This window comes from Homo sapiens, chromosome 2 (genome assembly GCF_000001405.40).
Source record: "Homo sapiens chromosome 2, GRCh38.p14 Primary Assembly".
Lineage (NCBI taxonomy): Eukaryota > Metazoa > Chordata > Mammalia > Primates > Hominidae > Homo > Homo sapiens.
Genome location: NC_000002.12, coordinates 131,794,502 through 131,812,569, shown reverse-complemented (window position 1 = coordinate 131,812,569; position 18,068 = coordinate 131,794,502). Strand labels below are relative to the sequence as shown.

Sequence of the window (18,068 nt, the reverse complement as noted above, 5' to 3'; positions counted from 1 at the left end):
GTTTATGCAGTGTTATCTTGTAGAATTTTTATAGTTCAGGAATTAGGTTTAAGTTCTTAATCCATCTTGAGTAGATTTTTGTATAAGGTGAGAGATGAGAATCCAGTTTTATTCCCCTACATGTGGCTCGCCAATTATCCCAACATCATGTGTAGAAAAGGGTGTCCTTTCCCCACTTTATGTTTTTGTTTACTTTGTCGAAGATCAGTTGGCTGTAAGTATTTGGGTTAATTTCTGGGTTCTCTCTTCTGTTCCATTGGTCTATGTGCCTATTTTTAAACCAGTACCATGCTGTTTTGGTAACTATGGCCTTATTGTACAGTTTGAAATCAAGTAGTGTGATGCCTCCAGGTTTGTTCTTTTTGCTTAGCCTTGGTTTGGCTACATGGCTCTCTTTTGGTTCCATATTAATTTTAGAATTGTTTTTGTAATTCTGTGAAGAATGACGGTGGTATTCAGATGGGGATTGCATTGAATTTGTAGATTGCCTTTAACAGAATGGTAATTTTCACAATATTGGTTCTAGTTCTACCCACCTATGAGCATGGGGTTGCGTTTCCATTTGTTGGTGTCATCTATGATTTCTTTTCTTTTTTTTTTTTTTTTTTTTTTTTCATAGAGAGTTTCACTCTTGTCACTGAGGTGGAAGTGCAATGGTGTGATCTCGGCTCACTACAACTTCTGCCTCCCGGGTTCAAGTGATTCTCCTGCCTCAGCTTCCCGAGTAGGTGGGATTATAGGCATGTGCCACCATGCTTGGCTCCATCTATGATTTCTTTCAGCAGTGTTTTGTAATTTTCATTGTAGAGGTCTTTTGATTCCTTTGCTAGGTATATTGCTAAGTTTTGTTTTGTTTTGTTTTGTTTTTTGCAGCTATTGTAAAAGGGGTTGAGTTCTTGATGTGATTCTCTGCTTGGTGGCTGTTGATATATAGAAGAGCTACTGATTTGTGTCCATTAATCTTGTATCTGGAAACTTTGCTGAATTCTTTCATCAGTTCTAGGAGCTTTCTAGAGGAGTCCGTAGGGTTCTCAAGGAGAAACATCATATCGTCAGCAACCAGTGACAGTTTGACTTCCTCTTTACCGATTTGGATTTCCTCTATTTCCTTCTTTTGTCTGATTGCTCTGGCTAGGGCTTCCAGTACTATGTTGAAGAGGAGTGGTGAGAGTAGGCTCCTTGTCTTGCTCCAGTTCTCAAAGGGAATGCTTTCACCTTTTCCCCATTCAGTATTATGTTGGCTGTGGGTTTGTCCTAGATGGCTTTTATTACATTAAGGTATGTCCCTTGTATGCCTATTTTGCTGAGAGCTTTAATCATAAACCAATGCTAGATTTTGTCGAATGCTTTTTCTGCATCTGTTGATATGATCATGTGAGTTTTTTTTAATTCTGTTTATTTGGTGTATCACATTTATTGTCTTGCATATGTTAAACCATTCCTGTATCACTGGTATGAAACACACTTGATCTTGGTGGATTATCTTTTTGATATATTGTTGGATTCAGTTAGATAGTATTTTGTTAAGGATTTTGGCATCTGCGTTCACCAAAGATATTGGTCTGTAGTTTTCTTTTTTGGTTATGTCCTTTCATGGTTTTGGTATTAGGGTGATGCTGCCTTCATAGAATGAATCAGGGAGGGTTTCTTCTTTCTCTGTCTTGTGGAATAGTGTGAAAGGATTGGTATCATTTCTTCTTTGAATGAGAGAAGACATTCTTTGAATGTCTGCTAGAATTCTGCTGTGAATCTGTCTGGTCCTTGGCTTTTTTTGTTGGTAATTTTAAAATTACCATTTCAATCTTGCTGCTTGCTTTATTGGTCTGCTTGGGGTATCTAATTCTTCCTGATTTAAGCTAGGAGGGTTGTATTTTTCCAGGAATTTATCCAACTCTTCTAGGTTTTCTAGTTTATGTGCCAAAAGGTGTTCATAGTACCCTTGAATAATCTTTAATATTTCAGTGGTGTCAGTTGTAATATCCCCTGTTTCATTTCTTAGTGAGGTTATTTGGATTTTCTCTCTTCTTTTCTTGGTTAATCTTGCTAATGGTCTATCAATTTTATTTATCTTTTCAAATAACCAACTTTTTGTTTTATTTATGTTTTGTATTTGTTGTTTTTGCTGTTGTTGTGTCAATTTCATTTAGTTCTGCTCTGACCTTGGTTATTTCCTTTGTTTGCTGGGATTGGGTTTGGCTTGTTCCTGCTTCTCTGGTTCCCTGAGATGTGAACTTAGATTGTCTCTTTGTGCTCTTTCAGACTTTTTCAAGTAGGTGTTTAGGGCTACAAACTTTCCTCTTAGCACTGCCTTTGCTGTATCCCAGAGGTCTTGATAGGTTGTGTCATCCAGTTCGAAGAAATTTTTTACATTTCCATCTTGATTTCATTTTTCATCCAATGCTCATTCAGGAGCAGGTTATTTAATTTCCTTGTATTTGCATGGTTTTGAAGATTCCTTTTGGAGTTGATTTTCAGTTTTATTCCACTGTGATCTGAGAGAGTGCGTGATACAATTCCAACTTTCTTAAATTTACTGAGACTCGTTTTATGGTCTATCATATGGTCTATCTTGGAGAAAATTCCATGTGCTGTTGAATAGAATGTGTATTCTGTGGTTGTTGGATGAAATGTTCTGTATATATCTGTTAAGTCCATTTGTTCCAAAGTATAGTTTAAATCCAGTGTTTCTTTGTTGACTTTGTTTTGATGAGCTGTCTAGTGCTGTCAGTGGAGTATTGAAGTCCCCCATTATTATTGTGTTGCTGTCTATCTCATTTCTTATGTCTACTAGTAATTGTTTTATAAATTTGGGAGCTCCAGTGTTAGGTTCATGTATGTTTAGGATTGTCATATTTTTCTGTTGGATGAGACCTTTACCATTATATACTGTCTGTCTTTGTCTCTTTTAGCTGCTGTTGCTTTAAAGTTTGTTTTGTCTCATATGAGAATAGCTACCGCTGCTCGCTTTTGGTGTCCATTTGCATGAAATGCCTTTTTCTACCACTTTCCTTAAGTTTATGTAAGTCGTTATGTGTTAGGTGAGTCTCCTGAAGGCAGCAGATAGTTAGTTGGTGAGTTCTTATCCATTCTGTGGTTCTGTATCTTGTAAGTGGAGCATTTAAGCCATTTACAACCAACATTAGTATTAAAAAGTGAGATGCCATTGCTTTCATCATGTTCTTTGCTGCCTCTGTACTTTGTTTTTGTTTTTTGCTTTTGCTTTTTAACTTGTATTTTTGTTTTATAGGTCTTGTGTGATTTATGCTTTAATGAAGTTCTGTTTTGATGTGTTTCCAGGATTTGTTTCATGATTTAGAGCTCCTTTTAGCAGTTCTTACAGTGCTGGTTTGGTAATGGCAAATTCTGTCAGCATTTGTTTGTCTGAAAATGACTGTATCTTTCCTTCATATATGATGTTTAGTTTTGCTGGATACAAAATTCTTGGCTGATAATTGTTTTGTTTGAGGAGGCTGAAGAAAGGGCCCCAATCCCATCTAGCTTGTAAGGTTTCTGCTGCAAAATCTGCTGTTAGTTTGATAGGTTTTCCTTTATAGGTTACCTAGTGCTTCTGTCTCACAGCTCTTAAGATTATTTCCTTTGTCGTAACTTTGGATAACCTAATGACAATGTGCCTAGGCTAAGATCTTTTTGTGATGAATTTCCCAGGTGTTATTTGTGCTTCTTGTATTTGGATGTCTAGGTCTCTCACAAGGCCACGGAAGTTTTCCTTGATTATTCCCCCAAATATGTTTTCCTGGCTTTTAGAATTCACTTCTTCCTCAGGTACACTAATTAGTCTTAGGTTTCATCGTTTAACAGAATGCCAGACTCCTTGGAGGCTTTGCTCATATTTTCTTATTCTTTTTTCTTTGTCTTTATTGGATTGGGTTAAATCAAAGACCTTGTCTTCGAATTCTGAATTTCTTTCTTCTACTTGTTCAATTCTATTGCTGAGACTTTCCAGAGCATTTCACATTTCTAAAAGTGCGTCCAAAGTTTCCTAATTTTTTATTATTTTTTATTTTTATTTTTATTTAAGCTATCTATTTCCTTGAATGTTTCTCCCTTCACTTACTGTATCACTTTTTGGATTTTCTTGCATTGGGCTTCACCTTTCTCTGGCCCCTCGCTGATTAGCTTAATAACTAACTTGAATTCTTTTTCAGATAAATCAGTGATTTCTTCTTTGTTTGGATCCATTGGTGATGAACTGGTGTGATTTTTGGGGGGGTGTTGAAGAGTCTTGTTTTGTCAGATTACCAGGGTTGGTTTTCTGGTTCCTTCTCATTTTGGTAGACTCTGTCAGAGGAAAGGTCTAGGGCTGAAGACTTGTTCAGACTCTTTTGTCCCACAGGGTGTTCCCTTGGTGTAGTACTCTCCCCCTTTTCCTATGGGCATGGCTTCCTGTGAGCCGAAGTGCATTGATTGTTGTCTCTCTTCTGGGTCTAGACACCCAGAAGGTCTACCTGGCTTTGGGCTGGTATTAGGGGTTGTCTGCGTAGAGCCCGGTGATGTGAACCATCTATGGGTCTCTCAGCCATGGATGTCATCGCCTGTTCCAGCGGAGGTGGTGAAGGGTGCAATAGACTCTGTGAGGGTCCTTAGCTTTAGTGGTGTAATGCTCTATATTTGTGCTGGTTGGCCTCCTGCCAGGAGGTGGTGCTTTCCAGAAGGCATCAGCTGTAGTAGTGTGGAGGGACTGGCAGTGGGCAGGGCCCTAGGACTCCCAAGATTATATGTCCTTTGTCTTCCACTACCAACTTAAACATTTGTGACAATTTCAATATCAGAAATTTATGTGTAATCGAATTTATTCTGGTAGCTTTTTTTCTTATATGCTTCAATCTTTATAATTTAGTTCTCACATGAGAGAGATCTAGTATTGGAAATATTTTCAATCTGTATGTTTATGTATTTATTCTAGTTGTCCTGGTGCAAGGTTATCAATGTTGCTGTGTGACCAGCCATTGGCTTTTCACATTTATAACTCCTCTGAATTTTTTCTTGCCTCATTTCTGGTGCTGGGAAATTCTGATATTTTCTCCTCATCTCCATTGTACATTTTAGGGATTCTTGAAACTTTTGATGCACAAACATCCACACTTTCCACATAAGTAAAATATTTTACTTAGATATTTTCTAGCAGACACTGAGTTCTCATGAGAAATCCTCAGTCTCTTTATTTGGGACACCCCCTCCCCAATATTCCATATGGAGTAGTTGTGTGTAGAATGTGATTACTTCATGAATACGTCAAAGTATGGATACATTTTGAAAACATTTCTGAAGTTGTAATCCCTTTCTTGATGAATAGTACCTGCACATGAGCAGAATTGATGTTTTCTCTGGAGCAGTAAGTTAGCACTGGTAGAATCTGTTCTGTAATCCCAGGTCCTTGGGCTCCAGTGCCAATGCTTCCTCCTTAGATCCTCCCTGACCCTGTAAATTTACCTCAGTCTCTATTTCTTAATCCAATAGCTATTTAAATTGATCTTCAATTACTTTGTATGTGGCCAGATATTATTTATGGGTTATATTCACATTTTTCTGATGTAATTTCAGAGAGCCTAGAAAATATCACCTAGTGAATATCTACTTCCATGAAGTCAGTGACACATTTTTAGGTCTTAAACTTCAATATTTAAAATATTTGTCTCTGGAATTTGAAAATAATATGTATGCTTTGTTTACTGGATAAAAAGGCTAATCACTTGTTCATCTGATTAGTAATCAAAGTTTCTAAAATTTATTTAATACTTGATGTTACTTTATGTTTTATATAAATGTGTATTGCTATGACAGTTTTAGTGTCACCTAATATTATTTTCAATGTTGTAATTTTTATGTATATGAATCTTTGTGCTATACATTTTAATGTCATTGGTATGAAAACTATATGTGCAAATAGCTTGAAATAGCACCTAACACATCATGGATTCTATGTAAATATTCACCACTCTATTTCATCGCATTTTAACCAATTAATACCATTCTTCATTTGCTAACATTTTGTTTGTCCTCATTCAAATGTGTGTTGGTGTCCTGTCTACATATTAATAAAACAGAGGAGGTGGGCCCAGACTTCCATCTTGATTAAATATTAAGACAAATAGCACATTTTCCTAGTTCTATTTATATGCAACATTACATTTGTCTCACACTATAAATATGAGTATTCAGTTAAGTACAGCAAAAAAAAAATAATAATCTTAACCTTCCTACAACAGATGTTGGGATATTCACGGATTGTCTACAGCTTCCTTCTCCCAACATTACTTTTATTCTTACATCTCAGCTGCCATGAAAACCTAGAAGCATGAAATACTACAAATTAGAAACAAATTCCCTGCTATACACAAATTGTAAAAGTAAACCAAGAAGAAAGAGAATATATGTGTACTCATACAGCAAGTAAATAGATTAGACTAATAAGAACTCTTCATCAGTCTAGCCCAGGCTCACATAGCTTCACTAGTGAATTCTATTAAACACTTAACGAATAACCAATCCTTCACAAACACTTGCAAAGCAGAGAAGCAGGAAAACATCAATTCATTTTTGAGGCCAGAATTACCCAGATAACAAATCAGACAAAAGCATCACAAGAAAATAAATAAATAAAAATAAAATAAATCCCTCATGAATGAAGGCAGAAATCTCCAAAAACTCTAGCAAACTGGAGGAAGCAACACATAAAAATGTTAGACAAGCCTGGCATGGCGGTGCACACCTGTAGTCCCAGCTACTTAGGAGGCTGAGGTGGCAGGAACACTTGAGCCCAGGAGTTTGAAGTTATAGTTAGCTGTGACTGTGCCACTCCACCCCAACCTGGGGGACAGAGTGAGGCCTCACCACTAATAAAAATTAAAGAAAATTAGAAAAAAGTTAGACAATTAACCAAGTGGAATTACCCTACAAATACAAATTTAAAAATCAATCAGTGTAATACACCATATTAATAGAATAAAGGAAAAGACCATGAGGATTTCAATGGACATCTGACAATGTCTGACACTCATTCCTGATGAGTCTTCCAGAAATCTAGCAATAGAAATAACTTCCTGAACCTCCTAAAGGACATCCATGAAAATTTAATAAATTCCACTAGGGTATATTGAAAGGCATATTGATACTTCCAACTTTATGGTTTTAAAAATTAACAATGAAATAAGAACTAATAACAGTAATCTATCCATCTGGAAAACATTAAACACCTTTCTAACAATATTTCCTTTGATGTGATAAAGGTAAAAATCCAAATTTAATAATAGGAGTGCTTTTGAGAAGACTGAAATTTGATGTTCCTAATTTTTCTGACTTATTAGCAATTAGAATCTAATTATCAATAATGCCAAGAAGACAGGAGTATTCTCCAATGACATTAGAATGTATAACATAAAGATTTATAGTTCGGCATAATGTATAACACAAAGATTCATTGTTTGGCATAACAGCATTTCATATTTGAATCATTTAATAACATTTTCATCATTGCGTATTCTCCTGGAAATAACACACAATACAGACTTCAAAAAACCAGAGCTTTTGCTGGGGATATGTGCTCCTTCCAAAGGCAATTGATTGTGTGCAATATTCTGAGAATTAATTCCTCCAAAGGTAAAGTGTGGCTCTCTGGGCTTCTGGTAATATCCTGAAAATTCACATATTCAAAAAGTCTTTTCCACTACAAACCACCATAAATGCTGGACAACAGAATATCTGCTCAACTGCCCAAATTATACTTTGGGGCTTTTGTACACAGTTTTTGCACAGAAATATTTAAGTGAATATAAATTAATTGAAATGTTTTCCAGGTGGATATTGAGGGAGAAACAGAAAAATCCAAGACAATCCCCTGTGGAAGAAAATTCTCCAACCCAAATCTCAACCGAACTCACAGCGCTGAACAGCGCATCAATTAAGACCTGTCAAATATAATCACACTATCTAATAGTTTTAAATATGCAAAATAAAGAGCACCAAAGTCAATGTAATTCAGAAATAACAGCAACAAAACCAGAGCACCCCGATGCAATTAGGCCACAAGGAATTCCAAAGTAGTGTATTAGGTATAGAAAATATATATGTAATTAGAAATGTTTACAGAGATTAGAGAGATTTTTTAAAAAAAGATTTGGCCTCTAAGACAGTTAACAATTCCAGTAAAGAAGAAAAGAGAAATTCAATGTTTGATATACATACATAAAAATAAATTTCAGGAAAATGAAAAGTCCATGTGATGACAGAATCCAAATTATATAAAAGATAGAAATCTCAATATTTGTTTTTACACATTTTAAGGAAAAAACAACCCCGAAAGCATAAAATGCAGAAAATAATGTTAATAATTCTTGAGTTTTCAAGTCCCTCTCACTGACTTTGGCACTTAGAGAACAGCCAGCACAGGCTCAGGATCACCTAATGGTCATTTCTGCCAAGGAGACCAAACTCATGAAAATGGAGCAGAAAGCTATGCGCACAAGATGGATGGATGCTCCTCTCCCAGAGACCAGCAGGTTCAGGTGTAGAGGGAGTGGGCCAGGGAGGGGCTGTGAGCACCAACCTGGGAGGGGTGGCTAGACTTCCATAGGACCCTCCTGTCCGCAGGTTTAAAATTAGGCACATAGACCAATGGAACAGAAGAGAGAACCCAGAAATTAACCCAAATACTTACAGCCAACTGATCTTCGACAAAGTAAACAAAAACATAAAGTGGGGAAAGGGCACCCTTTTCAACACACGATGTTGGGATAATTGGCGAGCCACATGTAGGGGAATAAAACTGGATTCTCATCTCTCACCTTATACAAAAATCTACTCAAGATGGATTAAGAACTTAAACCTAATTCCTGAACTATAAAAATTCTAGAAGATAACACTGCATAAACCCTTCTAGACATTGGCATAGGCAAGGATTTCATGACCAAGAACCCAAATGCAAATGCAATAAAAACAAAGATAAATAGCTGGGACTCATTTAAACTAAAGAGCGAGCTTTTGCATTGCAAAGGGAACAGTCAGCAGAGTAAATAGGCAACCCACAGAGTGGGACCCCTGACCCTGACCCCGACCCCTAACCACTGACCCTGACCCCTAACCCCTGACCCTAACCCCTAACCCTTAACCCTAACTGCTAACCCTAACCCCAACCCTCACCCTAACCCAACCCTAACCCCTAATCCCTAACCCCTAACCTCTCTTAACCCCAAACTCTAAACGTTGACTCCTAACCCCTAACTCTGACCCCAACCCCTATCTCCAACCCCTAACCCTAAACTTAACCCCTAACCCTAACACCAACCTTAACCCTAGGTTCGTTACTACGTTTGTATTGACTATGTCAATGCTGATTATTATGATCGCTGTCTTAGGACTGCACGGCAGCGAGGGGATTGCGGATCTTATATTAATATTTTTGTATTGAGGCAGTGCATTAGCATTACAGGTGCTTGTTACATGAGCAATGGGGGTGTCATGTCTGCATTAGGAATGCTGCATTTGTCTTCCTAGGCTGCGGTGTGTATCTCGCACTGCGGCCGCCTCGCCTTGGCTGGGGAGAACTTCGGTGGGCAGGATTCAGAGGGGCTTTTGGTTTCCCGTTTTCCACACTGAACCCTTCTAACTGGTCTCTGACCCTGATTATTCAGGGCTGCAAACAGGAAGGATTTTATTCACCGTCGATGCGGCCCCGAGTTGTCCCAAAGCGAGGCAGTGCCCCCCAAGGTCTGTGCTGAGGAGAACCCTGCTCTGCCTTCGCGGTGTCCCCGGAGTCTGTGCTGAGCAGAACGCAGCTCCGCCCTCGCGGTGCCCCCGACCCGCCCAGGTCTGTGCTGAGAAGAACATTGCTCCGCCTTCACTGTATCTCCAAAGTCTGTGCTGAGGAGAACGCAGCTCCGCCCTCGCAAAGGCCCCCCAGCGCCGGCGCAGGCGCGGAGAGGCGCACCCGAACCCGAATCCTAACCCTAACGCCGTCCTAACAGCCCTGGGGAGACCTTAGGGAACAAGCATTAAACTGACACTCGAGTCTGTAGCCGGCTGTGCCAAAAGACTTGAGGTTGGGGTGATATGGGAGCAGGGGTCGGGGAAGAAAGCGTTCTGGTTTTAGACCCACAGGAAGATCTGTGAAGCGCTCTTGGGTAGAGCACATGTTGCCGGGCGTGCCCTTGAAAACAGCCTAAGAAGAGGGGGCGTCTGGAAGGAACGGCAACGCCACGGGAGGGTGTCCAGCCTTCCCGCTTCAACACCTGGACACATTCCGGAAAGTTTCCTAAGAAAGCCAGAAAAATAATAAAAAATAATAATCCAGAGGCCAGGGGGCGCTAATGGGGCTTTACTGGGACTATCTGGCTTAATCCTCCAAACAACCCTGCCACAGCAGCCCATCAGTCCTCTGAGACAGGTGAGGAACCTGAGGTCGCAGGAGGACACCCAGAAGGTCCAGGCAGAGCCCCCTAGGCCCCCACACCTCCCCCCGTGGCAGCTCCAACCCCAGCTTTTTCACTAGTAAGGCACTCCAGCTGCAGGTCCACGCCCGCTCCCCCAAGCGGGGAAGGCGCTTCGCGCTGCCGCCGGCTGGGGACTGGGCACCGCCCTCCCGCGGCTCCGGAGCCGGCTGCCACCAGGGGGCGCGCCCGCGGTGTCCGGGAGCCTGGCGGCGCGTCTGCAGCTGCCAGTGCACCTGCTCCTGCTCTCACCGCTGTCTCTGCCAGGACCCCGACGCCCAGCCGGACCCTGCCCTCCAGCGGGGCTGCGGCTCCACGGCCTGCGACAGCAGCCCCACCCCGCATTCGGCGCGCTCCCGGGGGCAGAGGTCGCGGTGTCCTCAGGCTGTGGCGCCGGCCTGCAACCCCCACGCCGGGCTCGGGCCCCCCGGCGGAGGAGGGCGATGCTCCCTGGGTAGGGCGACCTGTCACCTGGGCTGGGAGGGCGGCTTAGGGGCGGAAGCGGCGGTCCAGGGCCGCCTGGTGCAGCAGCCTGTCTCAGCCGCGGTCCCTCCAGTCCCTCCCTGGCGGCTGCGGAGCCGTCCGAGGACAGGGGCCATAAACTCTCCAGAGCGGGAAGCCGCACGCTGGTGGCCCGGCCCCGCGCACAGACCTGGCGGCAGCTGGCACCTGACCCGCTGCATGGGTCTCCAGGGAGCTCGCTGCCCACCCGGCGCTGCAGCCTCGGCTCCCTCGTACGCGCTCTGGTAGGTGCTAGGGACGACCCTATGGGCCAGCTTGCCATGCCAAGTCCCCAGGCCGCACCCACCGTGGCTCCGTGGGCTAGGGGACTGGCTCCTCCTGTGGGTCGTGGGGCTGGGAGGCAGGGACTTTAGGGGAGAGGGAGGGACCGAGGGCAGCCCCTGCTGTGTGCGCAGCGAGGTCGTGCACAGGCCTCTGTTGCAGAGCGTGCAGCTTCAGCTGGCACTGGATTGCAGGTGGAGATGACTGTGTGTGCGCACACCTGGGGGTGAAGAGGACGCAGCCTGTCTACCTGACCCATGAAATGGAGGAGACTGTACCCCAGAAGCAGCGGGTTCACTGCTCCATTGATTAAGCAAGTCTGGGACACACATGTAGCTAAGCTGTGACTTCTGTGCCAGCGGTCCCAACACCCACGCCTTCAGGAAGACACATGTGTGAGGGGTTGCATGTTTGTCAGGCCTGAGAGTGGAGAGCAGGGGCCAGAGACACTAGGTAGGGGGAACCCACCCTAGGGCTCTGAGGGACGACGATGTGGGAAGCTGGTGGCAGAGACTGAGCTGGCCCAATGTTGCAGGGTGGGGACAGAATAGAGGTCCACCACACCCTAGGTGGACAGCTGAACCTGAGTAGACATCAGGCCCCAGATCGACATCTGGCCCCAGGTAGATTCCTAGGCCCAAGGTGAATACTCAGTCTCCAGCCCTAGGGGAATTCAGTCTTAGTTGATTAAGGACTGGTGTTCCTCTGGGGCCTCATGTCTACCTGGGCCCTGGGAGTGCATATGGAGCCAGATGTCTATAAAGGGCCTGAGTGTCCACTAGGGCCTGAGGTTCACCAGGAGCATAGACATCCACCTAGGACCTCGTGTCCACCTAAAACCTGGTGTTCACCTGGGACCTGGGTGACAACCTGGGATCTGATGTTCACCTGAGGCCCAGAGTTCAGCTGGTGCCTATGTCAGCCTGGCACCTGATGCACACAAGAGGACTAGGTGCCCACCTGAGGACTGGTGTTCATGGGGAATTGGTGTTCAGCAGTGGCTTGATGACCAACTGGGTCCTGGTGTCCTCCTGGCACCTGGTGTCCACCTGGGACTGCATGCTTACCTAGGGCCTGGTGTTCCCCTGGGGCCTGGTGTGCCCCTGAGACCTGGGGTCCACCTGGGCCTAGTATCCACTTGGGGCCTCATATCCATCTGGAACATCATGTCCACCTGGGGCCTTGTAGTTACCTAGGGACTGGGTGTCCTTCTGGCACTTGAGTGTCCTCCTGGGGCCTGGGGTTCTCCTGGGGCCTGGGTGTACATCTCTGGCCTGATGTCCACCTTGGGATGGATGTCCCCCTGGGGACAGATGTTCACTTGTGGCCTGAGTGTCCATTTCGTGTCTAATGTCTACCTGGGGCCTGGTGTTTGTCTGAGGCCTTATATCCACCTGGGGCCTGGGCATCCATTTGAGGCCTGATGTCTACCTAAGACCCAGTGTTTAATTGGGGCACAGACTTCTTCCTGGAGCCCAACATTCATCTAGAGCCTGAAGTTCACCTATGCCTGTTGTCTACCTGAGGCCTATGTGTCAACCTAGGGCCTGATGACCACCCTGAGTTCAGTGTTCACCTGGGGCCTGACATCTTCCTGGAGTCTGGATGTCCACATAGGGCCTGATGTTGGCTTGGGACCAAAGTATTTACCTAGGGCCTGGGTGTCTACTTACAGCCTGACTTCTACATGGTTCATTGTGTCAACCTGGGACCTGATGTCCACATAGGGCCTAGGTAAGCTCCTTATGACTAAAGTCCACATGGGGGCTGAAACCATCTCAGACTTTGTGTTAACCTAGGGCTTGGTGTCCACCTGAGGCCTGCCTGGGACCTGGTGACCCCCTGGGGTCAAGGTATCCATCCACCTTGGGCCTGATGACCAATTGGGACTTAAGGATCTACCTAGAGACTGGTGTCAACCTGGAACCTGATGTCCACTTGGGGTCTGGTGTACACCTTGGGCCTGATGCCCACCTGGGCACGGGTGTACACTTTGGGCCTAGTGTGCACCTGAAGCCTGGGGGTCAACCTGGGTCTTGATGCGCACCTTTAGTCAAGTGTTTAACTGGGGCCTGATGAAATACTGGAGCCTGATTTACAGCTGTGTACTGGGTCTCCTCCACCTGGGGCCTGATGTCCACCTGCAGCCAGATATCCACCTGGCATCAGATGTCTACGAGGAATCTGGGTGTCCACCTTGAAAATGATGTATTCCAAGAGACTAGGCATGCACATTGGGCCTGGGGTCCACCTGGGTCCTGATGTCTACCTGAGGCTGGTATTGAACTGGGGCCTGTGTGTTCACTTGGAGCCTGATGTCCATTTGGAAACTGGTGTTCACCTAGGACATGGGTATCCACCTGGATCCTGATTTTCAGGTGGGGAGTGGCTATAGACCTGGGAACTGATGGCCACCTATGCTATAAGTAACCCACCCCACCTGGGGCCTGGTGTTCACCTGCGGCCTGATATCCACCTGGTACCTGTGTGTCAATCTAGTGCCTGGTGTCCACTTGAGGACTAGGCAGACACCTGGGGCCTGGTGTTCATCTTGCACCCAGTGTCCACCTGGACCCTGTGTATCAACCTGTGGCCTAGGTGGCCACTGTAGCTTTATGTGCACCTGGGGCCTGAGAGTTTCCTAGGATCTGATGACCACTGGGGCCCAGGTATCCACCTGGGATATCAGGCTTCAAGTGTACGCCCAGGCTCCACATGGACACCAGGCCAGGAGAACGCCAGCCCTTATCTGAACATCAGGTCCTAGATGGATGCCCAGGCCCCATATGTACATCAGGCCCCGGGTATACACTGGACTCCAGGTGGACACCAGCACTCAGTTGGATACACACACTCAAGGTGGACACCAGGCCCCACGTGAATTCCTACACTCCAGGTAAACATCAGGTCCTAAGTGGATACCTGGACCCCAGGTGGATACCAGTCTCTAAATTAATACCAGGCCTCAGATGGTCCTTAGGAGCCATGTGTGCATTAGTCATCAGGAAGTTACCTAGGCCCAAAGTGGACATCAGGCCCCATGTTGACACAAGAGCTAGTTGGAAGTCAGGCCCCAGGTGGACACCCAGGCCCTAGGTAAATACTTAGGTCCCAAGTTGATGGCAGGCCCTATGTGAACACTCAGAACTCAGGTGGACATGAGGCCTCAGGTGGACATCTGAGTTCATCTGGAACCTCGTGTTACAGGCCCCATGTAAACACCAGGCCTTAGGTGGATACCCAATCTCTAGGTGGACATCAGAGCTCAGATTGACACAAAGACCCCAGTAGACATAATGTACCAATGAATATCCAGGCCCCTTGTTAATACCCCGGCCCCAAATTGACACCAGGGTCTATGTGGACACACAGGCCCCAGTTAGAAAACAGGCCCAAGGTGGACACTGGACTGGACATCAGGTCCTAGGTTGACAACCATGCTTCAAGTTGACACCAGACCCCAAGTGAACATCTGGCCCCAGCTGGACACTAGTCCCCTGATGAATACCTAGGCTCAAGGTTGACATCAGGCCCCATGTGAACACTAGACCCCAGATAAACACTTATGCCCTAAGTAGACATCAAGCCTCAGGTGGTTACCCGGTCCCAAGGTGAACATCAGGACCCCGATGGGCACCAGTTATCAAGTGGATTCTTAGGCCCCAGGTGAATATCAAGCCCTAGGTGGATACCAGGCCCCAGGTGGATACCAGGATCCTGGTAGACATCAGGTCCCAAGAGGACACTAGAACCCAGGAGTACATTAAGCCACATTAGCATGAAGGCCCCAGATGAATACCAGGCCAACTTGTGGACATCAGGCCCTAGGTGGACACAGGGCCACAGGTGGACATCTAGCTCCTGGGCGACATCCAGCTCCAGGTGGACATAAAGGTTTCCATGGATAAACCATTCCCAGGTGGATATCAGGCCTCAAGAGGATGGCAGTCACCAGGTAGACATCCGGCCTCAGATAGACACCAAGGTCCCAGATGTACAGCAGGCCCCAACCGAACCCCAGACTCATGTGGACATCAGGCCACAGGTAGACACCAAGCCTTAGGTAGATAAATAACTTCAGGTAGACATCAGACCCAAGGTGGACACCCAGTCCCCAGGTGGACAATCAGGCCCCAGGCACACATCAGGCCTTAAGTGGACACCCAGGCCCCAGGTTGATATCCAGCTCCCAGGTGATCACCAAGCCCCAGGTAGACACCGGGCCATAGGTGAGCAACAGGATGCAGTAGGTCATCAGGCCACAGCTGGATACCAGTCCCTGGTGAACATAAGGTCCCAGTGGGACATAGACCTAAGGCAGACATCAGGCCCCAGGTGGACATACAGGCCTGAGGTGGAATTCACCCTGAGGGGGACATCGGGCCCCAGGTGCACATCAGGCCTCAGGTGAGTAACCAGTCCCCAGGTGGACATTAGCCCGCAGGTCAACCACAGTCCCCAGGTTGATACCTGGTCCCCAGGTGGCTACCCAATCTGCAGGGTAACATTAGGCCCCTGTAGGATCACAGGCTGCAAGTGGATTCCTAGGTCTCTGGTGAACATCAGGTGCAGGTGTCCAAGCAGGCCCTGGGTGGACATAACTGTGTACAGGTAAGGAGTTGACCTGTGGGGAGGGTGAGCAGTCAGCAGCCCACTGGGGTCCTGAGAAGGTTTTCTGGAAGGAGGAGGCCGAGGGGATGGAAACTTAAAGAAGCGACCTCACTTCCTTGGCAACAGACCCTAACAGAACTTAGAATTCTGGTAACCAGGCCAGGCACGGTGGCTCACACCTGTAATCCCAGCACTTTGGGAGGCCAAGGCAGGAAGATCATGAAATCAGGAGATCGAGACCAGCTTGACCAACATGGTAAAACCACATGTCTACTAAAAATACAAAAAACAAACAAACACAAAAAACCTAGCCAGGTGTGGTGGTGCGTGTCTCATGCCTGTAATCCCAGCTACTCAGGAGACAGAGGCAGGAGAATTGATTGAACCCAGTAGGTGGATGTTGCAGTGAGCCGAGATCATGCCACTGCACTCCAGCCTGGCCAACAGAATGAGACTATGTCTCAAAAAAAAAAAGAATCCCGATAACCGGGCACCCACATCCTAGCATTAGCCCCATAGCCAGCTCACTTGGTGGGAGACGCTCAAGAGAGCAAGATGTTCTTGTGCTGCATCCCCACATCTCAAGGCTCCTGCTTCAGGAATGGCAGGAGTGAGAGCCTTTCTTTGCTGATGACGCCCTTGTAGGCTCATCCCTCACCCCAGATGCCTCTGGCCATTTGGCAGAAGCCCCCCGCCCAGGTACCACAGGACAGGAGTCACCAGGTAGACATCAGGCCCCAGATGGAGCTACCAGGCCAGGCCTCACCAGTGATCCCACCAGGGCCACATCTGCACATTGTCCTTGTCCAGCTGGAGCCTCTGGAGCTCATTGAGACACAGGCACATGCTGAGGTCACCTGCAGTCTGGAAGTCTTTCCAGGGACAATGTTTTCAGGCTGAAATTCCTTTAAATTCAATGAGGTTGTTTTCATGTTTGGAAATTCCAGTGGAAAGTGAGTGGTATTGGTGACCTCTCTCCTTTTTCAGCTCCTGCTTCAGGTGCAGAAATACAGCGATTTCCAGTGCCAGCTGTTGAGCCAGTGCCAGCACCAGGGGCAGATTCCCCTCCAGGGACAGCGCTGGAGCTAGAGGAAGCTCCAGAGCCCTCCTGCCGCTGCCCTGGGACTGCCCAGGACCAGCCCAGTGAGGAGCTGCCTGACTTCATGGCACCTCCTGTAGAGCCACCGGCCTCAGCCCTGGAGCTGAAAGTGTGGCTGGAGCTAGAGGTGGCAGAGAGGGGTGGCCAGCACAGCTCCAGCCAGCAGCTCCCACACTGCTCCCAGTCCTGGGCACAGTGGAAGCTATGGAGGCAGAGACCAGGGTTTGCAATCTGGGCTCCTCTGCCTCACTGGAGAGGGACTTCTCTCATTCAGCAGAGCAGCAGCCCTGCTGCTGAAGGGCCTGCTGCTACTGCTGCTGGGGCTGTTTGCCTGCCTGCAGGAGGTGCTGGAGAGCAAGAAAAGGAGCCTGTGAGCAGGGGTTCCAGCAGGTCCTCCTGCTCCCAGAGGCGACCTCCTCCTCCAGGCATGGAGGTTTGCCCTCAGCTGGGCATCTGGGCCATTTGCCCCTAACGTGCTGCCCAGGATGGCCTCCTCTTGACAGGCGGACAGGGGGTGAGGGGGCCAGGGGGCATCTCCAAAGGAAGCTTTTAAACTCAGCAGCTGCACCCCAGAATCTGTATGCCTGCACCTGCCCAAGGATTTATTCATAGCTTACCTAAGAATTTCAAATTTCTACCATAACACTGAATAAAGTTTGACTTTTTGAAACTTCCATGGCTTCTTTCACTCCCTAATATTGTAGATGGTGTTTTTGAGGCGATGTTGAAAACCTCTGATAGTTGTGTGTTTTGTTGTGGTTCTTTCTGTGATTAAATTACCATATGATCAAGTGATATTGAAAACCCTTCAGGTATGGCTTTTAGAAGACTTTGACCTATTTTTGCTTGTGTTGACTCTCCCTTCAGCCTTGTGGAAAGAGGGATCATGTAGGTTTCATTTCTCAGGCAGATCAGTCACTTTTTGCCATCAAAGTTTTAGCATCCATTTCCAAAATTTGGTGTACAAGTTGATATTTTGGTGTTTTCAGCTAATCTTGGGTCAAAACAGAATGCCATAGATGAGGAAGCTTATAAACAAATTTGTTTCTCTCAGTTCTGGAGATAGCAAAATTCAAGGTCAAGTGGTTAGCAGATTGCAGGTCTGGTGTGGGCTTGCTTTGTGGTTCATAGAC

At 46.2% G+C, this 18,068-nt stretch overlaps 1 pseudogene across 1 annotated transcript; it reads left to right on the top strand.

Annotated features, from left to right (window-relative positions):
• The first annotated feature begins 10,908 nt into the window (after positions 1 to 10,908).
• On the top strand, positions 10,909 to 17,609 carry CDRT15P3 (CDRT15 pseudogene 3; annotated as a pseudogene). Its single transcript, NR_161366.1, has 3 exons — positions 10,909 to 11,188; positions 11,420 to 11,678; positions 16,824 to 17,609. The product of NR_161366.1 is annotated as a CDRT15 pseudogene 3 (transcript).
• The last annotated feature ends 459 nt before the right edge of the window (positions 17,610 to 18,068 follow it).